We start from the raw sequence: 27,645 nt of genomic DNA, 5'->3' as shown, positions 1-27,645 counted from the left end.
CAGTATTTATCTTTCTGTGCCTGACTTATTTCATTTAATATAATGTCCTCCAGGTTCATCCATGTTGCCACAAATGGCAGGATTTCATTCTTTTTTATGCCTGAATAGTATTGTATTGTGCATATATGTCACATTTTCTTTATTCATTCATCAGCTGATGGACATTTAGGTTGATTCCATATCTTGGCTACTGTGATCTCTTCAGTATACTGATTTCCTCTTCTATGGATGAATTCCCAACAGTGGAACTGCTGGATCACATGGTAGTTCTATTTTTAAATTTTTTGAGCAACCTTTAGACTGTTTTCCATCATGGCTATACTAATTTACATTCCCACTAGCAGTGTAAAGGATCTTTTATTCTTTTATTCTTGAGGGTTTTTCCTTGACTTATTACTCTTCCTGATGGATGAAAGTATGTGTGGGTTAGCAGCTCTGCTATATACTATACCAGAATCTCTTCTATTACACAGTCCTCACCCTACCCCACCCTCCATCCTCTATCACCACTCTTTGAAGTTTATAGATCAAAGTTTGTGTTCTTTTTTGCTTGTTTGGGTGTTACCCATAGATTTTTGGCTGTTTCCTCACATCCTACACACACATACATTTTGTTTATTTTGTTAATTATTGGGGGAAGATTGTGATACTACTTCATTTTACTCTCTATCTAAAAGCTATTTTTCTAATATTGAGAGAAAAATAAGCAGTACACATGAGAGCACGTCATTTAAAAGGGAAAGTGGAAGTGATACCTGATTCTCTATATTCCAACATATTTGCAGAGTTGTGCAATGTATGGAACACTATACCAGTATATGCCCACTTCTGAGACGACATTTTTTCCCATTAACAGAGGTGGTTCTTCTCCAGCAATTGAGAAGAGTTGGTAGATTTCTCCACTATTCTGAGGATTTTAAATTCTCAGAGAGAGAGAGAAAGGCATCAGTTATTCCAGACTGGTCTGAGCCTCACATATAAATGTGGTATGTTTAGGCCAGGTGCAGTGGCTCAGACCTGTAATCCCAGCACTTTGGAAGACTGAGGCAAGACGAATGCTTGACTCCAGGAGTTCAAGACCAAACTGGGCAATATAGCGAGACCCTGTTTCTACTTAAAAAAAAAAAAAAAAGTACCTTGATTGTGCTTGGTATCTGCTGGCTTGTTTCTTTTAAAATTTTGTTTTGTCTTTTAAAAGTTTTGTTGGCCAGGCACAGTGGCTCACGCCTCTAATCCCAGCACTCTGGGAGGCCGAGGTGGGTGGATCACTTGAGGTCAGGAGTTCGAGACCAGCCTGGACAACATGGTAAAACCCTGTCTCTACTATAATACAAAAAATTAGCCAGGCATGGTAGTGCGTGCCTGTAATCCCAGCTACTCAGGAGGCTGAGGCAGAAGAATCACCTGAACCCGGAAGGCAGAGGCTGCAGTGAGCCAATATCACACCGCTGTACTCCAGCTGGTGTAACAGAGTGAGACTCTGTCTCAAAAAACAAAAACAAACAAAAAAAGTTGTTGTTGTATAAGAATGTATCAATAAGCACTACCAAACACATTCTACAGATTCAATGCAATCTCTGTCAAAATACCAAGGACATTCTTCATAGAAATAGAAAAAACAATCTTAAAATTTAAATTGAACCACCAAAGACCCCAAAGAGCCAAAGCTTAACTGAACAAAAAGAACAAAACCCGAGGCATTACACTACTTGACTTCAAAATACATTACAAAATGACAGTAACAAGAACAGCACAGTATTGATATAAAAACAGACACACAGACTCATGTGACAGAATAGAGGGCACAGAAATAAATTCCTGTATTTACAGCTAACTCATTTTCGACAAAGGTGCTAATAAGAACATACATTGGGGAAAGGATATCCTCTTCAATAACTATGCTGGGAACACTGGATATCCACACGCAGAAGAATGAAATTAGAAACCCATCTTTCATCATATACAAAAAAATCAACTCAAAATGGATTAAAGACTTAAATTTAAGATCCAAAACTAAAAAACTACTAGAAGAAAACACAGGGGGAAAGCTCCATAACGCTGATCTAAGCAAAGATTTTATGAGTAATTCTACAAAATCACAGCCAATAAAAACAGAGAAATAGAACTCTATCAACTAAATAGCTTCTGTACAGCAAAGGAAATAACAGAATGAGGAGACAACCCGTAGAATGGGAGAAAATATCTTCAAACTATTCATCCAACAAAGGATTAATACTAAGAATGTACAAGGTACTCAAACAACTCAACAGCCAAAAAAACCCCAAATAATCTAAAAAGTGGGCAAAGGATCTAAAATGACATTTCTCAAAAGGAGACATACAAATGGCAAACAGGTATATAAAAAAATGCTCAACATCACTAATCATCAGGGAAATGCAAATCAAAACCACAATGAGATATAATATCACTCCGGTTAGCATGGCTACTTATCAAAATGCAAAAAAAGGAAAATTCTGGCTGGGATAAGGAGAAAAGGGAACACTGGCACACTGTTATGGAAATGTGAGTGAGTATAGCCATTACAGAAAACAGTATGGAGGTTACTCAAAAAATTAAAAACAGAACTACCATATGATCCAGCAATTCCACTACAGGGTATATATCCAAAAGAAATGAAATCAGTAGATTAAAAAGATATTTGTGCTCCTATGTTTCTTTCAGCATTATTCATAACGGCCAAGATATGGAACCAAAATAAGTGTTCGTCAGTGGATGAATGGATTTCTAAAATGTGGTATATATACACAATTGAATACTATCCCACCACAAGAAAAGAGAGAAATCAGCCAGGCCTGGCAGCTCACACCTATAATCCCAGTACTTTGGGAGGCCAAGGCAGGAGGATCACTTGAAGCCAGGAGTTTTGAGACCAGCCCGGGCAACAAATCAAGACTGTCTCCACAAATACATTAAAAAATTAGCCAGATGCAGTGGCATGCATCTGCAGTCCCAGCTACTCGGGAGGCTGAGGCAGGAGAATGCCCTGATCCTAGGAGTTTGAGACTGCAGTTAGGTATGATCATGCCACTGAATTCCAGCCTAGGTGACAGAGCAAGAGCCTAGCTCTTAAAAAAAAAAAAAAAAAAAAAAGGCGGGGAGCAGCGGGCAAGGTGGGAGGATCATTTGAGGCCAAGGGTTCAAGAACAGCCTGGGCAACATAACAAGACCTAAGATAAGCCAACATTTGAGTAATAATTAGAGTCACTTAAGTAAACAACAAAATATATGGGAAAGGAAATATATACATTTTTCTGGCATGAAGCAAGAAAGAATCTCAGATTGAAAGGGAGCATCAAAAGTACTGGGAAAGACTGATAAAGAACTGTTAACATTCAGACATACTCTGGTTAAGTCAACTATTTCAAGTATAATGAAATAATTCTTCAATCAGTAAGTTAGAAAACAAAAAGTCATTTACAAGAAGAAAATAAAAACTGCTGGTACCAGAAGTTGTAGTCTCCCCTTAACGAGAGACTCAGCTGTTTTGTCTTTGTTTTTGAGAAGTGCCTTGCTCTGTCACCCAAGCTGGAGTGCAGTGGTGTGATCATAGCTCACTGCAGCCTCAAATTCCTGGGCTCAAATGATCCTTCCACTTCAGCTTCTGAAAGAGCTGGGACTACAGGCGCATGCTACTTATTGTACTTGGCTATTTTTCAAATTTTTTGTAGAAACTGGGTTGGTCTCTGTTGCCCAGGCTGGAGTGCAGTGGCACAATCGTAGCTCACAGCAGCCTCAAACTCCCGGCTCCAGCAATCCTACTGCCTCAGCCTCTGGAGTAGCTGGGACTACAAGGGTGTGCCACAATGTCCAGCTAATTTTATTTATTTATTTGTTGCCCAGTCTCAAACTCCTGGCCTCAAGCAATCCTCTCACCTAGCATCCCAGCCCACCATGTCACCTGGATTACAGGCATGAGCTACAGCACCAGTTCTGCTTTTGTTTTTTAAAGAGACATGTTGCCCAGGCTAGAGTGCAGTGGCTATTTACAGCCACAATCATCATACACCACAGCCCTGAATTCCTGGCCTCAAGCGATCCTTAAGCCTCAGCCTCCCCAGTAGCTGGGACTACAAGCACACACCATTGTTCCTGGCTCAGTTTTTGTTTTTGTTTTTTTAATCTTTTAAAATTATTTTTTTTAATTATGTTTTTTAACGTTGTTTTTTTCTTTTGACCACAGCACATGCATCGGTTTTTTCATTAAAGGAAAACTGTGGAAACAAATCATGTACCCTCCCAAAAGACTTGTTCATTTATACACTTGTAAATAATTTGTTGATTGCTATGAAAACTAAAAGATATAGAAAACTAAGCAATAAATCTGCTTACTTTATCAAAATGAAATAAATTCATTTAACAAAAAAATATGACTCTTACAAACAAAATGACAAAATTCTTATGTTTTGTTTTCCTGGCGTTTCTTAATAACAAATCATTAAAAAAACCCATCTAAAATGTAAATCTTTATACGTAAAGAACTATAAAACATGATCAGATAATAATCATAAAGCATAGCTCATAAAAGAGATGATAATTTGTAGATTTTATTTGTTGAAAATCACTTCAGTGTAATTAGTTTTTCCACTACAGTATTCAATAAATACCATTAAGACGAGAGAAAAATATCTACACAGTTCTAAGAGATTATCATCTACAGCCATTTCTATATTTTAGTATATAAAGGCAACAAACACATTTTCAAACATGAAAGAACCCATGGAACATAGAATCCAAAGCCCTCCTTACATAAAAACAAAAAAAAACTTAATGAAATAAAAAAGTAGTAGTAGTGAGCATTGAATCTAACTAGAAATAGAACTAAGGCTAAATAATTGGGGGAGAAGTTAGGGAGGATGTAAATTTGAAAGGAAAAATAGCATAAGCAAGAAAATTCAGGAGGTAAAGAGTAGAAAAGGGGAAGGAAGTTTAAGACAGACAATTACTTTACTTTTCAGAGTAGAAGTCAATCTATGCCATCTAAATCTGAAACAATAACTTCATCTCTCAATAATGTATTTAATCTCTTTTTTTGACCTTAGAAAGATATTTTAGGAATTCCTTTTTTTTTTTTTTTGAGACAGGGTCTCATTCTGTTCCCCAGGCTGGACTGCAGTGGCATGATCATAGCTCACTACAGCCTCAACCTCCCAGGTTCAATTGATCTTCCCATCTTAGCCTCTGGAATGGCTGGGACTATAGGCACACACCACCATGCCCAGTTAATTTTTGTATTTTTTTGTAGAGGCTTGGTCTCACTATATTGTCCAGGCTGGCTTCAAATTCCTGGGCTCAAGTGATCCACTTGCCTCAGCATCACAAAGTGCTGGGATTACAGATGTAATCTCTTTCCTTAAAAAATTCTTTCCTTAAAAAAATCCATTCATTTTTCTAGCTATCCATTCAGTCTTCCACTAAATATACACACAGAGAGTTATCTGGAATGTTAATCAAATGTTAACACTGCTTATTTCTGAGAGGGTTAGATTTTGGGTAATTTGTTGCTTATCCTTCCTATTTTTCTGATTAAATTTTACTTATTTATTTATTTAGAGACAGAGTCTAGTTCTGTCACCCAGGCTGGAGTGCAGCGACACGATCTTGGCTCACTGCAACCTCTGCCTCCCGGGTTCAAGCAATTCTCCTGCCTCAGCCTGCCGCAGAGCTGGGATTACAGGTGCCCGCCACCACGCCCTGCTCATTTTTGTATTTTTAGTAGAGACGGGATTTCACTGTGTTGGCCAGGCTGGTCTCGAACTCCTGAGCTAGTGATCCACCTGCCTCGGCCTCCCCAAGTGCTGGGATTACAAGCGTGAGCCACCGTGCCCGGCCTGTATTAAATTTTAAATGAGCATATATTTTATTCATAAATATAATACGGCCATATTTGTTTGTCAGAAAAACGGCTATTTGGCCACTGTAATCTTTCTCCAGAGTCTCCCCAGAAGGAAAGTCAGTCCAGAAAGAACATCTTTTAGCCTAGCAAATATAACTCAATGCACAAGTGTAGTCACATCAACAAGCCCCCAAAACAACAGAGGCTCTCTAGTTTTGAGTTTATGCTCTTTGCACTCTCTAGTACCTAACTGAATAGACTTGTCTAATCATCACTAGGTGTATGGTATCTGCAAAACAAGCCCCAAAAGTCTCATACCTTCACAACAGGATGTCCCCCAGTAGATGCTTTTACTGCCCCTCGGCTACCTTCAGTTTCATAATGGGCTCGATGATGAGTTTTAGGTTGCACTTCTATTTTCAGTTCACATTGTCCAAAATGAGCTGGTAAAGGCCAGTCTAGTGGAGGTAATGAAGATGTGCTACAAACAAAACACACAAAGATGCATGTCACCATGCTATTATTGCCAAGCAATGATTCAAATGGCTTCTTTGCCAGCACCAACATTTCTTCCTTTGATCTTTGAAACAATGTATTACAAAATAAAACTTCATTTAGTAAGTTACAATTCTGGTTATGGTGAGTGCTTAATAAATAATTATTTCATCTTTAGAATAAAATCTATTTTATTTCCCAAAGGTGGTACATGCTTAAAGATAAATAAATTTTAGAAAATAAAAATAAAGGCCAGGTGCGGTGGCTCATGCCTGTAATCCTAGCACTTTGGGAGGCCGAGGTGGGCAGATTACCTGAGGTCAGGAGTTCGAGACCAGCCTTGCTAGCATGGTGAAACCCCATCTCTACTAAAATTAGCTGGGCATGGTGGCACTCACCTGTAATCCCAGCTACTAGGGAGGCTAAGGAGGCAGAAATGCTTGAGCCCAGGAGACGGAGGCTGCAATGAGCCAAGATTGCGCCACTGCACTCCAGCCTGGCCAAAAGAGCGAGACTCTGTCTCAAAAAATAATAATAATAATAAAATAAAATAAAATTTAAAAATCTATCTTATCTTCATTTTGGTTTCCCATATTTTTTTGAAAAAGACAAATTCTTATAATTTATAAAACTGTAAATTTTTCTCAACTATGTGTATGAACTTAACAAAAATAACCAAAAAATAATAATTTGATTTTTTTAAAACAAAGAGGCACATTTCTGTTTATGTATATCTGTATCTCTCCACATATCCAAACATCTCTCTCTGTGTCAGGATGTCTATCTCCCTCCCTGGTACATATCTCTGGATGTCAGCCTACTGAAGTTATCACTTCCCGCACTTCCTCCCTATTGCTCCTTTCCCTACTTCCTTCCTACTGCGCCTTTCCCTGTCTCTCTGAAAAACTGCTTCCATTCAGCAATATACTGCAATTTGAAGTAAAAATTTAATTTTGGTACATGCTTGGTTGGAAAACAACCCGTCACTCCAGCAACTCTAAATGTTACTTTTTTACTTTATCAGTAAGACAATTTAAATTGCTTAAAGGCCCAAAGGATCATTTTGATATATTAAAACATGGATTATAAAAGAAAAACTTCGTATGTCTACAGGTCAAGTACAATTTCTAAATTATTTCATTGTTTCCTTCCATGTCCTCAGCCTAGCTTTAAGTCCTACTCCTGTGAATTCAAGGATATTAATTTTTATTAGTTTGAAAAAATCCAACTTCAACTCTCAGTTACTTCTGTATTTGTTTTGCAGCCTTAAGCAAACCACTAGAAAAATTAAGATAAATTTCAGAAGCAAAGGGATGGGTTCAAAGGTGTCTTCATTACCATAATTCTATTTTTCTAAAGATCAGGATTGAGAAATAAAGATTCACACTAATGAAAAAAGCATTGGCCGGGCGCAGTGGCTCACGCCTGTAATCCCAGCACTTTGGGAGGCCGAGGCGGGCAGATCACCTGAGGTCAGGAGTTCAAGACCAGCCTGGCCAACATGGTGAAACCCATTCTCTACTAAAAATACAAAAAAATTAGCCAGGCGTGGTGGCAGGTGCCTGGAATCCCAGCTACTCGGGAGGCTGAGGCAGGAGAATTGCTTAACCTGGAAGGCGGAGATGGCAGTGAGCTGAGATCATGCCACTGCACTTGAGCCTGGGCGACAGTGAGATTCCGTCTCAAAAAAAAGAGAAGGCCGGGTGGGTGCGGTGGCTCACGCCTGTAATCCCAGCACTTTGGGAGGCCGAGGTGGGAGGATCACGAGGTCAGGAGATGGAGACCATCCTGGCTAACACGGTGAAACCCCGTCTCTACTAAAAATACAAAAATTAGCCGGGCGTGGTGCCGGACGCCTGTAGTCCCAGCTACTCAGAAGGCTGAGGCAGGAGAATGGTAGGTGAACCCAGGAGGCGGAGCTTGCAGTAAGCCGAGATCGCGCCATTGCACTCCAGCCTGGGCAACAGAGCGAGACTCCATCTCTTAAAAAAAAAAAAAAAAAGAAAGAAAAGAAAAACCCCTGGCCGGGCACAGTGGCTCCTGCCTGTAATCCTGGCACTTTGCAAACTGAGGCAGGAGGATCACTTGAGGCCAGGAGTGAGATCAGCCTAAGCAACAAAGCAAGACCCCATCTCTACCAAAAAAAACAAAAAAAATTTTTTTAAATAATTGAGTGTGGTGGTATACGCCTATAGTCCCAGCCACTCAGGAGCCTGAGGTATAAGGATTGCTTGAGCTTGGGAGGTCGAACCTGCAGTGAGCTATGATTACCCCACTGCACTCCAGTCTGGGCAACAAGATGCTGTCTCAAAAAACAAAACAAAAATCCTAACAGGCACAACTCCATGTGGGAATTTAATACATAAAAGTTGTCTTTTCTAATCAGTTATAGACTAGATTGATTCTGTAAATGTAATTAATAGGTTCTTTTTTTTTTTGTAGGGGGGTGGTGCAGACAGGGTCTTGCTTTCACCCAGGCTGCAGTGCAGTGGCATAATCTCAGCTCACTGCAGCCTCCATCTCCCATCTCAGGCAATGCTCCCGCCTCAGCCTCCCTAGTACCTGGGACTATAGGTGTGTGCCACCACACCTGGCTAATTTTTGTATTTTTTGTAGAGACACGGTTTTGCCATGTCACCCAGGCTGGTCTTGAACTCTGGGGCTCAACGGCCTCCCAAAGTGTTGGGATTACAGGCATGAGACACCACGCCTGGCCCCCAAATAGTTTTCTTAGTAATTAAATTCATATTATAATCCAAGTTGTACAATAAACTTTTTTTTTTTGGTAGAAACAGGATGGAGTACAATGGCATAATCATGTTTCACTGCAGCCTTGAAGTTCTGGGCTCAAGCAATCCTTCCACCTCAGCCTCCCAAGCAGCTAGGACTACAGGCAGACATCACTATGCCTGGTTAATTTTTTTTTTTTTTTTTTTGTAGAGACAGGATCTTGCTATGTTGCCCAGGCTAGTCTCAAACTCCTGGGCTCAAGCAATCCTCCTGCCTCAGCCTCCCAAGTGTTGGGAATACAAAGCATAAGCCTCCAAACCTAGCAAGGATTTTTAAATGTAATTTATTATTATCAACAATTCATTAGCTATATATTTTAAAATTATATTTAACCTATCTAAAAATACTTTTAAGATGCAAATGAAAATAAACATTAAGTTATTTGGTAAAATTTTTTTTAAAAATAGGAAGAGGAGAAATGGTCAAACCATTATATAACCATTATATACTGATAATGTAGTTATATGCCACCAATGACCCATAAACATGAAAAATGACCAGCAGCCATTTCCATCAACTCACCGAAATATAGGGGTGTGGCCAGGCTTTGGTTTGCTCCAGGTAAAGGGTGAAGGAACTGAAAGAAACTGATCACCACATGAATCTTTCTTTAAAGGATACTGAGATCCAAGGCCATCATCTATTGAAGTCTCCCGGGCTGGTGATAAACTCCCTTGGTCATCTGAACACAGCTCTAATTTTCCTGGTAGTATGGCAGCTTGATCTTCAGAAGTTTTCCTTGTTTTGAGAGGGATGTCAGTCTCTACACAGTACTGAAATGGAAAAACTGCAGGGCCAAGGCCTGACCCACCATGGACAGAAGCATTGAGCCACGTATCTTCTGTCACACTTCCCCTGGGGGAGTGACCAGGTGAAGGAACAGGTGAGTGATGGGGTGAAAGGGACCCAGCATAACAAACTTCAGCACTGGAGTGCCTCCGTTTCCCACAGGGGGATGTGGGCCTTGATGAGGGTCCTGAGGCTGGCCTGGGGCTCAGCCAATTCTCATCAGTGACACTGGATCTAGGAGAGTGGCAAGGAGATTGCCTGGGTGATAATGAGTGTCCAAGTCCATACTGTTGATGCCAAGTTTCTTCTCCAGGGCAGCCCCCTGGAGAGCCACCAGGAGAAGTCAGAGGGGATCCAAGGGTAAATCGGGCTGCAGCTTCATTCAACTCTGAGTCCACATCATCATAAATATGTGAAAGCGATTCACAAGAAGATGCATCAGAGAACCAACTCCTAGAAGAGATGCTGCTGGCAGGACTAGGACTAAGAGAAGACTCCCGGTAGGATGGCTCAAGAGGAAGATAGAGATGATCTCTAGAAGGCCTTTCCAAAAATTCCCGTTCTGGGTCATTTATCTGTAGGTCATCTTCATGTGCATCTAATTCTTGATGACAGTTAGGAGAGATAGATGTAATTTGAATACTTGGGCACTCAAAGGGTTTGGGACCACCTAATGGGCTATATTTAGATTCAGGAATCTCACAAGTTCCTTCATAGTTTTTGTGACTTTGGAGCTGAAACGATGGTGACAAAACAGAAGAGTGAGACGGTAATCCATGATGTGGTAAGCAAAGTGGTGTGGTTAAAGTAGATGGAGGTGGATCTACATTAAAGATGTAAATGGATGCACAATCATCTGGCTCAAGATCTACGGGGAGGAAGGCAAAAAAAAAAAAACCCAACAAAACAAGAAATTAGAAAACTCAGATGTATAAATTACTAGATGAGAAAGTAAATAATAACAATCTCGAGAGAAAAAAGTGGGATATAAAATGTATGTCATTAGCTCCACTAAAGAAGTGGCATGTGTGTGTTTTTTCAATGCATCTGGTTATTTCTGCAGATATGTGTGATTATTACATATACAATTACATATGTAATTTTTCCTTTTTATGTCCACATTTTCTAAAAAGATAATCAGGAAACATTATGCCCTGAAAAAGATTTTTTTTTTTTTTTTTTGAGACAGGGTCTCACTCTCTCACCTAGACTGGAGTGCAATGGTGTGATCATAGCTCACTAAAGCCTCAACCTCCCATCCTAGGCTCAAGTGATCCTTTCCTCAGCCTCTGGAGTAGCTGGGACACAGGTACATGCCACACTCCTGGTTACTTTTTATTGTCATTTTTGGTAGACACAGGGCCTTGCTTTGTTGCCAAGGCTGGGCTCAAGCTATCCTCCCACCTTAGCCTCCCAAAGTGCTGGGATTACAGGTGTGAGGGAGCGTCTGTGCCCAGCTCAATAAATGTGTTTATTAAAAAAAAAAAAACACATCCATAATTCTAAAAAATACTCATAGCATACAGGCTGCAGTGAGCTCAGATCACGCCACTGTACTCCAGCCTGGGTGACACAGCAAGACTCCGTCTCAAAAAAAAAAAAAAAAAAAAAAGAAAAGAAAAGAAATGAGATATTCCTAGGCTGCAAAGAACAGAAAATCCAACTCAATGTAGCTGAAAAAGGGGGAGGGGACACAGGCTGAATATCCCTTATCCAAAATGCTTGAGGCCAGAAGTGCTTGGGATTTTGGATTTTTTTTTTTTGGCCCATTTACAAATACACAATGAGATATCTTGATATGGGACCCAAGTCTAAACATGAAATACACTTATGTTTCATATATACCTTATTCACATAGCCTGAAAGGTAATTTTGGACAATATTTTTTAATAATTCGGTGAATGAAAAAAAGTCTGTGTTAAGAATTCTCCACTTGTGGCATCATGTCAGAGCTAAAAAGTATAGGATATTGGAACATTCCAGATTTTGAATATGACCTGTATATATTATCCAACATAACAACCTGCATTATCAACCTGTATATATTATCCAACATAACAAGTAGTCAAAGGTAGGAGAGTTCCAAAAGTGGGTTTTTCTTTGTTTGTTTGTTTGTTTGTTTGAGATGGAGTCTTGCTCTGTCGCCCAGGCTGGAGTGCTGTGGCGCAATCTTGCCTCCTGGATTCAAGCAATTCTCCTGCCTCCTGTCTCAGTCTCCTGAGTAGCTGGGACTACAGGCACTCGCCACCATGCCTAGCTAATTTTTTTTTTTTTTTTTTTTTCTGAGACAGAGTCTCTCTCTGGCTTGAATGCAGTGGTGCGATCTTGGCTCACTGCAACCTCTGCCTCCGAAGTTCAGGCGATTCTCAAGCCTCAGCCTCCCAAGTAGCTGGAATTACAGGTGCCTGCCATGACACTCGGCTAATTTTTGTTATTTTTAGTAGAGACAGGGTTTTGCCATGTTGTCCAGGCTGGTCTCAAACTCCTGACCCCAAGCAATCTACCCTCCTTGGCCTCCCAAAGTGCCAGGATTACAAGCATGAGCCACCACACCCGGACTTTTTTTTTTTTTTTTGAGACTAGGTCTCGCTCTGTCACCCAGGCTGGAGTGCAGTGGTGCACTCATAGCTCACTGCTGCCTCAAACTTCTGGGTCAAGTGATCCTCCCACCTCAACCTTTCAAGTAGCCGAGACCACAGGTGCATGCCACCACTCCCAGCAATTTTTTTTTTTTTTTTTTGTAGAGACAGGGTCTCGTTTTGTTGCCCAGCCTAATCTTGAACTCCTGGGCTCAGGCAATCCAACTGCCCCAGCCTCCCAAAGTGCTGGGATTACAGTTCAACAATGTTCTTCAGAAATGTTTCTTTATTTCACTTTGCCATTTTTGGGGAGCTAACTTTGTGCTGTTCATTTTTCAACCACATATACCTATTCTGTCTACACTGGAAACAACATGATTCAACTTATTCATTTAACAAAAAAATTTTTTAGCAACTACTATGTAAGCAGGCATGTTCTGAATACTAAAAACACCATGGTAAACAAAACAAAATCCCCTCCTCATGGAGCTTACATTCTAGTAAAATATGTCAGGTAGTGATATTTGCTGTAAGAGAAAATAAAACGGGAAAAAATATAGAGGAGGCAAAGATGTTAATTTAATAGGAAAGTCTGGAAAGCCTTCTCTAATACTTGAGGAAATAGCAGAAGAATATTAATGTAACTGAGCTATACAGAAATTTAGGGGCATAATGCAGGCAGAGGATAATAGTAAGTGCAAAGACCTGAGGTACAGCATTGTTGAAGTGTACTGTATGAGAAAAAACAAGGCCAGTGGGACTTGAACTGAGTAAGGAGGCAGAATAATGAGAGCTACGGGTGGTCAGGGAGAGGCTAGTCAAGTAAGGCCTTACGAGATGGGAAACCACTGGAGCATTCTAAACAGAAAAGTATCATCATTTGATATATATGAACTGATATAAATTTAGGAGGCTACTGTAATCATCCAGGTGAGAAAAGATGGAATACAGGACCTAAGTGGTAGTGAGCTGTAAAAGCAGAAGCAGCATTAAGAAGTCAGATTTTGGATTAAAGTAGTGCTGACGGAACTTGTTGACTGGATGTGAAAGAACAGTCAAGGGTGACACCAAGGTTTAAAGCCTTGAACTATTATTAAAAACACAGTATTGGTCGGGCGCAGTGGCTCACACCTTTAATCCCAGCACTTTGAGAGGCCGAGGCGGGTGGATCACGAGATCAGGAGATCACGACCATGCTGGCTAACACGGTGAAACCCCATCTCTACTGAAAATACAAAAAATTAGCCGGGCGTGGTGGCAGGCGCCTGTGGTCCCAGCTGCTCGGGAGGCTGAGGTGGGAGAATGGCGTGAACCCAGGAGGCAGAGCTTGCAGTGAGCCAAGATCGCGCCATTGCACTCCAGCCTGGGCAACAGAGCGAGGCTGTCTCAAAAAACAACAACAACAATACAGTATTTCTGAAATTTTCTGAATTTCTGAAAGAACAGCAATTACTGAAATAAAGAAAGTGAGACAGACTTGAGATAAGAAACCAAAACTTCTACTTTGTACATATTAAATATGAGAGTCCAGTAAGCTTTCCAAGTGGAAATGTCAAATAGATATTTGTGCATAAGAACACAAGCTAGCTATGTAAATGTGGGAATCATTAACGTATATATGAAATTTAAAGCCATAAGACCAAAAGATCACTAAGAAATTAGTACAAATAGAGAAGAAAGTAGGCAACTGAGGCACAAGGAACTCCAAAGTTTAGGATTAGGGAGAAAAAGAAGAATGAGTTAAGAGGTTAGAAGAGACATCAGTGAAATGGAACAATAACCAAAAGAATGCAGCATCCCAGAAGCCAAGTGAAGAAGGTGCTCATTCATTCACCAACTATTAATGATGTGATTAATATTTTATAGAAACTGTTATAGATGGTAGGTACATAAAAAGTAAATAACACACATATGGTCCCCCGCCCTCATTAAGCAGTCAGTCTCAGGAGAGACTGACAAAAACACAAATTAAAAATGGTAAGTGCTACTAAGTGGTAGAAGAGAGAATCAGACAAGGAACTTGTTTTACAGAGATTACAGAGATGGCCTTTTTGAGAGGGTAGCATGTAAGCTAAAACCTGAAAGATAAATAGGAACCAGCAAGCAAAGAAAGAGAGTCAGCGGGGCTGGGGAGAGAAGGTGATAGTTGCAACACAGGAGAATAGGCATAAACAGTCTGAGTCAAATAACGCCTTGGTTTCTTTAAGAAACGCCCAAGATGGCTAGAGTTAACAACTGAAAGGGTAGAGCTAGAAGAAGCCAAGACATAGAAGAACTGTAGTAAGGGCTTTGGATTTTATTCAAAGAATAATGGAAACCATGTAAGAGTTTTAAAAAGGGGAATGACATGATTTCTATTATATATGAGAACAACTTCAACTGCTGTATCTCCAGTACCTACCAAGTAAGTCCCTGACATTTATTAGGTCTATAATAAATCATTTGTTCAAGTTGTTGGGGCCGGACATGGTGGCTCACACCTGTAATCCCAGAACTTTGGGAGGCCGAGGCAGGCAAATGGCTTGAGTTCAGGAGTTCGAGACCAGCCTGGACGATGTGGCAAAAACCCATTTCTACAAAAATAAAAATACAAAAAGTAGCCAGGCATGGTGGCACATGCCTGTACTGTAGTCCCAGCTACCTGAGAGGCTGAGGCAGGAGGGTCGTTTGAGCCTGAGATTCGGAGGTTGCTGTAAGCCAAGATAGCGCCATTGCACTCCATCCTCGGTGACAGAGCAAGACCCTGTCTAAATAAATAAATAAGGTTGTTGGAATTGCTTCCCTTAGAGAATCTATGTTACTCCTGAGTAAGGAGGCAGAATAATGAGAGCTAGGGGTGCTCAGGGAGAGGCTAGTCAAGTAAGGCCTTGCGAGATGGGAAACCAATGGAGCATTCTAAACAGAAAAGTATCACCATTTGATATATATGATCTGATATAAATTTAGGAGCAAAATCCTCAATTAGGAATTTTTGAACCATGTTTCTTGGCAATGCTATCAGCCTGTTGAATTATGATGGTAGCTAAAACTTTCTAAAACTTAGCTCACAATGTCACCTATCTAAATGGTACTCAAGTGGACAGAAGTAAAACAAGCCTCTGAACACTCAAAATATACAGCATAAAAGCTCATGTGTTTAACTCACAGAAATTTTCCTTGGCCCCTTGTTCAGATCCTCTCTACTCAATTTTAGATCCCATAATATTATATGCTTATCTAGTCCACAGATTAGAAGCAGGAAATCTAAAATGAGAGAAGATGGCTGCAAAGAAAAGGAGAGACAGGAAAAACAAGCAAACAGTTCAAAGGGTATATATAGCACCTTGAAGTCATCCAGAACAACTTGTTCTTTACTAATTTCATCTAATCGTACTGCTTATTTTCAAACTGCCTTTTTCCTTTACTTAAGAATGTACTTGATTAAATAGGAAAAATTAATTAAATCCCAACCCTTTGAGAAAAAAAAAAAAGGACAGAAAGTCACCCATAGAAGATTTTACAGTTTATTCAAATGAAATTATTGTACCAGCCCATTTCAGTTGTTGACTAATGCTGAAAACCACACCCTTCTCCCAAATAAACTGTAGATGAAGCAAACATCTTCTACGTCAGAATGATGTCTTAAAGTGCTGCAGAGACCTGCACACAAAATTTGTGGGAATGCTGCTTTATCTTTTTCCCAAGTGTCCAACCTCTGGAAATGATATAAGCAGCTACTACAATCTAACTATGACGAACAGTCCTAAGTCCAGATTTCCAAGTCTAGAATTCTCAAATTCAAGGTGCTTCAGAAATTTCACCATCTCAAGAATTACTTGTTCCATGTTCCTTCAACCACCAGAGGGACTCATGCAAGCATACAGTAATCTGGACAACCCAAGTTGTCTTATGAATGTTTTTATGTATAGTATGAAGCAGAGGTTGGCAAAATACAGTCCATGTGCCAAGTCTGGCCCACCAACAAGTGGTAGGCCACATTTAAAATCATTAGTTTGTAGGCTATAGAAAGCCTACAGATAATAGTTTGTCTTTCTATAGCCTACAAACTAATGGTTTTAAATGGTTTCAAAAAATTGTTTTTAACTGTGTCATGACAAAAAAAAGTTATGATTCAAATTCTGGTATCCATAAATAACGTTTTACTGAAACACAACCATGCTCATTCATTTATATACTATCTATGGTTATTTTCACACAAGGGTAGAACTGAGTAACTGTCAAAGGGACCACATGTACTACCCCTATTCCTTCACATTGCTGCTTGATGGACACAAATTGCAGTGACAAAGTTCTAATGAGTGCAATGCATACGTATATACTGTGACTTTAAAAAAATTTTTACTAGTGCATAACACAAAAAGAAAAGTAGACTTTGAATGTTGCCCTTTTAAAGCACAGTGGAGTGTGGTTATACTGTTATCAAATTAGATGTGCAATAACATTATGGCCATATATATGCATTACCACAGTAATGCATTCATCATAATACTCCCAACTCACAGGAAAAGAAAAAAAATTTAAAACAAACAACAACAACAAAAAAAAACAATCGGCCAGGTATGGTGGCTCACGCCTGTAATTCCAGCACTTTGGGAGGCCAAAGGGGGCAGATCACTTGAGATCAGGAGTCCAAGACCAGCCTGGCCAACATGGTGAAACCCTGTCTCTACTAAAAATACAAAAATTAGCTGGGCATGGTGCCGCGTGCCTGTAATCCCAGCTACTTGGGAGGCTGGGGCAGGGGAATCAGTTGAACCCGGGAGGCGGAGGTCGCAGTAAGCCGAGATTGCGCTACTACTGCACTCTAGCCTGTGTGACAAGAGCAAGACTCCGTCTCTCAAAAAAAACAAAAACAAAAAACAAAGAAAATAAAATGGCTCATTTGCTAGCAAAGTAAAGAAAGTCATTTACTGGGGCCGGGTGCAGCGGCTCATGCCTATAATCCCAGCAATTTGGGAAGCTGAGGCAGGTGGATCACAAGGTCAGGAGTTCGAGACCAGCCTGGACAACATGGCAAAACCTCATCTCTACTAAAATACAAAATTTAGCCAGGCATAGTGGCAGGCGCTTGTAATCCCAGCTACTTGGGAGGCTGAGGCAAGGCGAATCACTTGAAGCCGGGAGGCGGAGGTTGCAGTGAGCTGAGATTGCACCACTGCATTCCAGCCTCGGTGACAGAGTGAGACTTGGTCTCAAAAAAAAAAAAAGAAAGTCATTTACTGATGGTGAGTTATTTAAATTGTGTTTCACCGGAGAAACCACGGAAATATGTTCAGAGAAAAACTTACAAGACTATTAGCCTTTCAGCAAGAACAACTGGTAGAAAAACTGAGGACATTGGTAGCAACATTAATAGGTTAATTACAAAATAAAACAAACGATTTCCTTAAAAAGTGGTTTTCCGGCCAGGTGCGGTGGCTGACGCCTGTAATCTCAGCACTTTGGGAGGCAGAGGCAGGCGGATCACGAGATCAGGAGTTCGAGACTATCCTGGCCAACATGGTGAAACCCCGTCTCTACTAAACATACAAAAATTATCTGGGCGTGGTGGCACTTGCCTGTAATCCCAGCTACTTGGGAGGCTGAGGTAGGAGAATCATTTGAACCAGGGAGTCGGAGGTTGCAGTGAGCCAAGATTGCACCACAGCACTCCAGCCTGGCAACAAAGCAAGACTCCGTCTCAAAAAAAAAAAAAAAAAGTGCTTTTCCTTGGCCCTTGATGTGCTGCCAGATGTTACCAACATCTGCTCAGTTGTTATTTATTGAAGAGTCAATGCAGAGTTTAAAGTGACTAAACAATTAGCCTCCATGAATAGTGTGAAAGAAACAACTTCAAGAAAAAACATTTGCAAAGAAGTTAAGAAAACACTAGTTTAGGCAGGAGGAGCCAAGATGGCTGATTAGAAGCCACTCCAGTCTGCGGCTCCCACTAAGAGGAGCAAAAACGGCCAGTGAATCCTGCTCCGTCAACTGAGGTATCCAGGTTCTCTCACTGGGACTGACTAGGTGGTTGGTGTGATCCACACAGAGCTAGGAAAAGCAGGGTAGAGCGACAACCTGACCTGGTAGCCACAAAGGCGAACTCCCACACCCAGCCAAGGGAGGTGGTGAGTAACTGTGCTACCCTGCGCGGGAAACCAGACTTTTTCCACAGATCTGTACATCCCATGGATCAGGAAATCCCCTCATGAGCCCACGCCACCAAGGCCTTGGGACCCAAGCACAGAGCTGTGCAACCTGCTCAGGTTGTGGCTAGCAGCAGCAGGCTGGACACTGCCTAAGACTACCAAGTTCCCACGGAAAGGGGCAGTCGCCATCACTGCGGCTCCAGTCTGCCATTTTCCTTTGCTGGTGTTGGGGAAACTTGGCGGTTTGGACGAAGAGGAATTCCCCACAGCACAACACAGTGGCGGTGGCAGATCGTGGCCAGATTGTTTCCTTAGGTGGGACCCAGATCCTTCTCTCTTCACCAGGCAGAACCTCCTTGCAGGAACTGCAGTAACTCTAGCCAGGAGTTTATGGACAGAACTCTGATATCCCTGGGAAGGAGCCTCTACGGGTAGGGGTGGTCATGGTCTCATGGTTCAGCTGACCTAGTCTTTCCTGCCTGTTGGCAGTCCAGATGAGGGGAATTCTCCCCAGCACAGCCGAACCTGCTCAGCCAAGGGGCAGTCAGACTGCTTCTTTAAGCAGGTTCCTGATCCCATCCCTCCTGACTGGGTGAGACCTCCCAACTGGGGTCACCAGGCACCTGATACAGGAGCGTTCCAGCCAGCATCAGCTCCGTGCCTTCTGGGATGAAGCTCCCAGAGGAGGAGGCAGCCATCTTTGCTGTTCTGCAGCCTCCACTGCTTATACCTCCAGGTGCAGGAGGGGGTAGATGAATTAGGTCAGGAGTGGTCCCCTAGTAAACTGCAGCAGCCCTACCCTATGGAAGAGGGGCCTTACTATTAAAAGAAAAACAAACAGAAAGCAACAACAACAACATCAACACAAAAGATCCCACAAAAACCCTATCCAAAGGTCAGCAGCCTCAAAGATCAAAGGCAGATAAATCCACAAAGATGAGAAAGAATCAATGCAAGAACGCTGAAATCTCAAAGAGCCAGAGTGTCTCTTCTCTAAATGATTGCAACACTTCTCCATCAAGGGCAGAGAACTGGGCTGAGGCAGAGAAGAATGAATTGACAGAAGTAGGCTTCAAAAGGTAGGTAATAACAAACTTCGCTGAGCTAAAGGAGTATGTTTTAACCCAAGGCAAAGAAGCGAAAAACCATGATAAAACATTACAGGAGCTGTTAACCAGAATGGCTAGTATACAGAGGAACATAAATGACCTGATTGAGCTGAAAAACACAACAGGAGAGCTTCACAATACAACCACAAGTATCAACAGCTGAACAGACCAGGCAGAGGAAAGGATATCAGAGCTTGAAGACTATCTTGCTAAAATAAGACGGGCAAACAAGGTTAGAGAAAAAAAAAAAATGTCGGGAGGCTGAGGCAGGAGAATGGCGTGAACCCAGGAAGCGGAGCTTGCAGTGAGCCGAGATTGCGCCACTGCAGTCCGCAGTCCGGCCTGGGCGACAGAGCGAGACTCCGTCTCAAAAAAAAAAAAAAAAAAAAAAACGAAAAAGAAAAAATGAAAAGAAATGAACAAAACCTCCAAGAACTATGGGATTATTTAAAAGAATGAACCTGGCTGGGCACAGTGGCTCACGCCTATAATCCCAGCACTTTGGGAGGCCGAGGCGGGTGGATCACGAGACCAGGAGTTCAAGACCAGCCTGGTCAAGATGGTGAAACCCCATCTCTACTAAAAATACAAAAATCAGCCAGGCGTGGTGGTGTGTGCCTGTAGTCCCAGCTACTCGGGCGGCTGAGGCAGAAGGATCGCTTGAACCCAGGAGGTGGAGGTTGCAGTAAGCCAAGATCACGCCACTGCACTCCAGCCTGGGCAACACAGCAAGACTCCATCTCAAAAAAAAAAAAAAAAAAAAAAAAAAAGACTGAACCTACAACTGGGGTACCTGAAAGAGACGGGGAGATCGCATCCAAGTCGGAAAACATACTTCACGGTATCATCCATGAGAACTTCCCCAACCTAGCAAGATAGGCCACCATTCAAATTCAGGAAATTCAGAGAAACCCAGTAAGATACTCCATGAGAAGATCAATCCCAAAACACATTATCATCAGATTCTCCAAGGTTGAAATGAAGGAAAAAATGTTAAGCGCAGGGAGAGAGGACAGATCACCACAAAGGTAAGCCCATCAAACTAACAGTGGACCTCTCAGCAGAAACCCTACAAGCCAGAAGAGATTGGATGCCAATATTCAACATTCTTAGAAAAGAATTTCCAACCCAAATGTCATATCCGGACAAATTAAGCTTCGTAAGTGAAAGAGAAATAAAGTCCTTTTCAGACAAGCAAATAATGAGGGAATTCAGCACCACCAGGTCTGCTTTACAAGAATTCCTGAAGGAAGCACTAAATATGGAAAGCAAAAACCATTATCAGCCACTACAAAAACACACTCAAGTACACAGACGAATGACACTATGAAGCAACTACATTAACACGTCTGCAAAATAACCAGCCAGCATTATGATGACAGGACCAAATTCACACATAACAATATTAACCTTAAAAGTAAATGGACTAAATACCCCAATTAAAATACACAAAATGGTTAGCTGGCTAAAAAGACAAGAACCATTGGTGTGCTGTATTCAAGAGACCCATCTAACATGCAAAGACATGCACAGGCTCAAAATAAAGAGATGGAGGAAAATTTACAAAGCAAATGGAAGGCAGGAAAAAAGCAGGGGTTGCAATCCTAGTTTCTGACAAAACAGATTTTAAACCAACAAGATCAAAAAAAGACAAAGAAGGGCATACAGCATGGTAAAGGGTTCAATTCAACAAGAAGAGCTAACTATCCTAAATATATATGCACCCAATACAGGCACACTCAGTTTCATAAAACAAGTTTTTAGAAACCTACAAAGAGACTTAGACTCCCACACAACAATAGTGGGAGACTTAACACCCCACTGTCAATATCAGACAGATCATCGAGACAAAAAATTAACAAAGATATTCAGGACTTGAGTTCAGCTGTGATCAAGTAGACTTACCCAAAAACAGAATATACATTCTTCTCAGTGCCACATGGCACTTACTCTAGATTCGATCACATACTTGGAAGTAAAACACTCCTCAGCAAATGCAAAAGAAATGAAATCATAACTGTCTCTCAGACCACAGCGCAATCAAATTAGAACTCAACATTAAGAAACTCACTCAAACCCACACAACTACATGGAAATTGAACAACCTGCCCCTGAATGACTTCTGGGTAAAAAATGAAATTAAGGCAGAAATCAAGAAGTTATTTGAAACCAATGAGAACAAAGAGACAATGTACCAGAATCTCTGGGATATAGCTAAAGCAGTGTTAAGAGGGAAATTTATAGCACTAAATGCCCACATCAAAAAGCCAGAAAAAACTCAAATCGACATCCTAATATCACAACTAAAAGACTAGAGAACCAAGAGTAAACAAACCCCAAATCTAGCAGAAGACAAGACATAACCAAGATCAGAGCAGAACTGAAGGAGACAGAGACACAAAAAAACCCTTAAAAAAAAAAATCAGGCTGGGCGCGGTGGCTCACGCCTATAATCCCAGCACTTTGGGAGGCTGAGGCGGGCAGATCACAAGGTCAGGAGATCGAGACCATCCTGGCTAACACGATGAAACCCCGTCTCTACTAAAAAAAAATACAAAAAAAATTAGCCGGGTGTGGTGGTGGGCACCTGTAGTCCCAGCTACTCAGGAGGCTGAGGCAGGAGAATGGCATGAACCCGGGAGGCGGAGCTTACAGTGAGCCGAGATTGGGCCACTGTACTCCAGCCTGGGCAACAGAGCGAGACTTCGTCTCGAAAAAAAAAAAAAAAAATTCAGGCCAGGCACGGTGGCTCACACCTGTAATCCTAGCACTTTGGGAGGCCAAGGCAGGCAGATCACTTGAGGTCAGGAGCTCAAGACCAGCCTGGCTAACATGGTAAAACCCTGTCTCTACTAAAAATACAAAAATTAGCCCAGTGTGGTGGTGGGTGCCTATAATCCCACCTACTCAAGAGGCTGAAGCAGGAGAATTGCTTGAACCCAGGAGGTGGAGGTTGCAGTGAGCCAAGATCGTATCACTGCACTCCAGCCTGAGCAACAGAGTGAGACTCCATCTCAAAACAAACAAACAAACAAAAACAACTCATCCAGGAGCTTGGCTAGGCTAATGAAGAAAAGAGACAAGAATCAAATCAACACAATAAAAAATGATAAAGCAGATATCACCACTGACCCCACAGAAATACAAACCACCACAGAGAATACTATAAACACCTTTATGCAAATAAACTAGAAAACTTAGAAGACACTGATAAATTCCTGGACACATACACCCTCCTAAGACTGAACCAGAAAGAAGCTGAATACCTGAACAGACCAATAATGAGTTATGAAATTGAGGCAGTAATACATAGCCTACCAACCAAAATAAGCCCAGGACCAGAAAGATTTACAGCTGAATTCTACCAGAGGTACAAAGAGAAGCTGGTACCATTTCTTCCGAAACTATTCCAAACAACCGAAAAGGAAGGACTACTCCCTAACTCATTTTATGAGGCCAGCATTATCCTGATACCAAAACCTGAAAGAGATATAACAAAAAAAGAAAACTACAGGCCAATATCACTGATGAACATTGATCCCAAAATCCTCAAATAAATACTGGTAAACCGAATCCAGCAGCACATCAAAAAGCTTATCGACCAGGATCAAGTCAGCTTCATTCCCAGAATGCAAGGCTGGTTCAACATATTCAAATCAATAGATGTAATCCATCACATAAACAGAACTAAAGACAAAAATCACATGATTATCTCAATAGATGCAGAAAAGGCCTTCGATAAAATTCAACATCACTTCATGTTAAAAACTCTCAATAAACTAGGTATCGGAGGAACAAACCTCAAAATAATAAGAGCCATTTAAGACAAACCCACATCCAATGTCATACTGGATACGCAAAAGCTGACAGTGTTCCCCTTGAATATTGACACAAGACAAGGATGCCCCTATCTCACCACTCCTATTCAACATAGTAATGGAAATTCTGGCCAGGGCAATGAGGCAAGAGAAAGAAATACAGGGTATTCGCATAGGAAGAGAGGGAGTCAAATTGTCTTTGTTTGCAGATGGCATGATCCTCTATCTAGAAAACCCCCTAGTCTCAGCCCAAAAGCTTAAGCTGATAAGCAACTTCAGCAAAGTCTCAGGATACAAAATCAATGTGCAAAAGTCACAAGCATTCCTTTACGCCAACAAGAGACAAGCAAAGAGCCAAATCAAGAATGAACTCCCATTCACAATTGCTACAAAGAGAATAAAATACCTAGGAACACAGCTAACAAGGGAAGTGAAGGACCTCTTCAAGGAGAACTACAAACCACTGCTCAAGGAAATCGGAGAGGACACAAACATGGAAAAACATTCCATGCTCATGGATAGGAAGAATCAATATTGTGAAAACAGCCACACTGCCCAAAGCAAATTATAGATTCAATGCTACTCCCATTAAAATACTATTGACATTCTTCACAGAATTAGAAAAAACTATTTTAAAATTCATATGGAACCAAAAGAGAGCCCGTATAGCTAAAACAATCTTAAGCAAAAAGAACACAGCTAGAGGCATCACGTTACCCGACTTCAAACTATACTACAAGGCTACAGTAACCAAAACAGCATGGTACTGGTACAAAAACAGACACAAAGACCAATGAAACAGAACAGAGAACTCAGAAATAAGACCACACATGTACAACCATCTGATCTTTGACAAACCTGACAAAAACAAGCAATGGGGAAAGGATTCTCTATTTAATAAGTAGTATTGGGAGAACTGGCTAGCCATATGCAGAAAACTGAAACTGGATCCCTTCCTTACACCTTATACAAAAATTAACTCGAGATGGATTAAAGACTTCAATGTAAAACCCCAAACTATAAAAACCCTAGAAGAAAACCTAGGCAATAAATACCATTCAGGACATAGGCATGGGCAAAGATTTCTTGATGAAAATGGCAAAAGCAATTGCCAACAAAAGCAAAAACTGACAAATGGGATCTAATTAAACTAAAGAGCTTCTGCACAGCAAAAGAAACTATCATCACAGTGAACAGGCAGCCTACAGAATGGGAGAAAACTTTTGCAATTTATCCATCTGACTAAGGTCTAATATCCAGAGTCTACAAGAAACTTAAATAAATTTACAAAAAAAAAAAAAATAAACCACCCCATTAAAAAGTAGGCAAAGGACATGAACAGACATTTCTCAAAAGAAGACATTTATGCAGCCCAACAAACATAAAAAAAGCTCAACATCACTGATGATCAGAGAAATGCAAATCAAAACCACAATGAGATACCATCTCAAACCAGTCAGAAAGGAAATTATTATTATTATTATTATTATATTTTTTTGATACAGTGTCTCACTCTGTCGCCTAGGCTGGAGTGCAGTGGCATGATCTCGGCTCACTGCAACCTCTGTTTCCTGGGTTCAAGTGATTCTCCTGTCTCAGCCTCCCAAGTAGCTGGGACTACAGGCATGCACCACAATGCCCAGCTAATTTTATTATTTTTAGTAGAGATGACGTTTCATCATGTTGGCCAGGCTGGTCTTGAACTCCTGACCTCAACTGATCCGCCCGCCCCGGCCCCTCAAAGTGCTGGGATTACAGGCGTAAGCCACCACACCCGGCCCAGAATGGCAGTCATTAAAAAGTCAAGAAACAACAGATGTTGGCGAGGCTGAGATAGAAAGGCTTTTATACTCTTGGTAGGGATGTAAATTAGTTCAAACATTGTGGAAGACAGTGTAGCAATTATTCTCCCAAAGACCTAGAACCAAAAATATCATTTTACCTAGCAATCCCATTACTGGGTATATACCCAAAGGAATATAAATCATTCTATTATAAAGATACATGCATGTGTATGTTTACTGCAGCACTATTCACAATAGCAAAGACATAGAATCAACCCAAATGCCCACCAATGACAGACAAGATAAAGAAAATGTAGTACACATACACCATGGAATACTGTGCAGCCATAAAAAGAATGAGATCATGGATGGAGCTGGAAGCCATTATCCTCAGCAAACTAATGCAGGAACAGAAAACCAAACACCACATGTTCTCACTTATAAACAGTAGGTGAACAATGAGAACACATGGACACAGGGAGGGGAACAACACACACTGGGGCCTGTCTGGGGGTGGGGGTCACGAGAGAGGGAGAGCATCAGGAAAAATACCTAATGCATGCTGGGCTTAACACTTAGGTAATGGCTTGACAGGTGTGGCAAACTACCATGGCACACATTTTGCTATGTAACAAACTTCCATATCCTGCACATGTATCCAAGAACTTAAAATTAAATTAAATTAAAAAAAAAACAACAAAAAAAAAAGGCGTCCGGGTACGGTGGCTCACGTCTGTAATCCCAGCTCTTTGGGAGGCTGAGGTGGACAGATCACCTGAGGTCAGAAGTTCAAGACCAGCCCAGCCAACATGGTGAAACCCCATCTCTACTAAAAATACAAAAAAGAGGCTGGGTGTGGTGGCTCATGCCTGTAATCCCTGCACTTTGGGAGGCCGAGGCGGGCAGATCACAAGGTCAGGAGTTTGAGACCAGCCTGGACAACAGGGAGAAACCCCGTCTCTACTAAACATACAAAAATTAGCCAGGCGTGATGGTGCACACCTGTATTCTCAGCTAGTCGGGAGGCTGAGGCAGGTGAATCACTTGAGCCCAGGAGGTGGAGGTGCAGTGAGCCAAGATCACACCATTGCACTCTAACCTGGGCAACTAGAGTGAAACTCCATCTCGAAAAAAAAAAAAGAAAAAGAAAAGAAAAAAGAAAACACTACTTTAGCACAACGTAAGTGGATTTTGTTAGAATGTATTACAACTGGTGTTTGCAAAAATATATGTAAGAATACTATGATAATAAGAATACTATGAACAGGATCGGGTGCGGCGGCTCACACCTATAATCCCAGCACTCTGGGAGGCCGAAGCAGGTGGATCACTTGAGGTCAAGAGTTCAAGACCAGCCTGGCCAACATGGTGAAACCCCATTTATACTAAAATATACAAAAGTTAGCCTGGCGTGGTGGTAATCCCAGCTACTAGGGAGGCTGAGGCAGGAGAATCGCCTGAACCCAGGAAGCGGAGGCTGCAGTGAGCCAAGATTGCTCCACTGCACTCTAGTCTGAGCAACAGAGTGAGACTCTGTCTCAAAAAAAAAGAAGAAGAATACTATGAACAATCGTACACCAACAAATTAGACAATCTAGAAGGAATGAGCAAACTCCTAGATATACAGAGATTACCAAAACTGACTCAGAAGAAAAAGAAAATCTCAGACCTCTAACAAGTAAAGAGATTGAATCATAGTCAAAATTCTCCCAGGAACAGATGGCTTCACTGGTCAGTTCTAATGAACACTTAGACAAGAATTAACAGCACTACTTCTCACATTCTTCCAAAAAATAGAGGGAATGCTTCCTAACACATTCTATGAGGCCAGTATTTTCCTGATACCAAAGCAAGACACTACAGACCAATATCCCGTATGAATATAAACACAAAAATCCTCAACAAAATATACACTAGCAAACTGAATCCAAGAGCACATTAAAAAAGACCAAATGTGATTTATCCCAGGAATGCAAGGGTGGTTCAACATGTGAAAATCAACTGATATAATATACCATATTAATAGAGTGAAGAAAAAAAATCCACACAATCAGGGGCCGGGTGTACTGGTTCATGCCTGTACTTTGGGAGGCTGAGGCACGTGGATCACTTGAGGTCAGGAGTTCGAGACCAGCCTGGCAAACATTGTGAAACCCTGTCTCTACTAAAAATACAAAACTTAGCCAGGCATGGTGGCAGGCGCCTGTAATCCCACCTACTTGGGAGGCTGAGGCAGGAGAATCATTTGACCCTGGGAGGTGAAGACTGCAGTAAGCCAAGATCATACCAGTGTACTCCA

The 27,645-nt window shown here is 41.3% G+C and overlaps 1 protein-coding gene across 3 annotated transcripts in view, besides 1 other annotated feature; it reads right to left on the bottom strand.

The window, feature by feature from the left end:
- NFATC3 (nuclear factor of activated T cells 3) overlaps positions 1-27,645 on the bottom strand; it is a 143,890-nt gene that overhangs the window by 96,477 nt on the left and 19,768 nt on the right. For all 3 annotated transcript variants that reach the window (NM_004555.4, NM_173163.3, NM_173165.3), the window contains exons 2-3: positions 9,662-10,796; positions 6,173-6,335 (exon numbers count right to left, since the gene is read on the bottom strand). In NM_004555.4, coding sequence (NP_004546.1) covers positions 6,173-6,335; positions 9,662-10,796 — 1,298 coding nt within the window. The remainder of the gene's footprint in view (positions 1-6,172; positions 6,336-9,661; positions 10,797-27,645) is intronic.
- Positions 13,582-13,711: a silencer, noted in NCBI's record as "silent region_7640". NCBI's record gives its function as "represses an Ori minimal core promoter by ATAC-STARR-seq in GM12878 lymphoblastoid cells {active_cell/tissue: GM12878}" and the evidence as "EXISTENCE:reporter gene assay evidence [ECO:0000049][PMID:35858748]".

The sequence above is a fragment of the Homo sapiens genome, chromosome 16 (assembly GCF_000001405.40).
Source record: "Homo sapiens chromosome 16, GRCh38.p14 Primary Assembly".
In the NCBI taxonomy this organism is placed as follows: domain Eukaryota; kingdom Metazoa; phylum Chordata; class Mammalia; order Primates; family Hominidae; genus Homo; species Homo sapiens.
The sequence above is the reverse complement of the archived record's forward strand: the minus strand, read 5'-3'. Positions and strand labels throughout refer to the sequence as shown.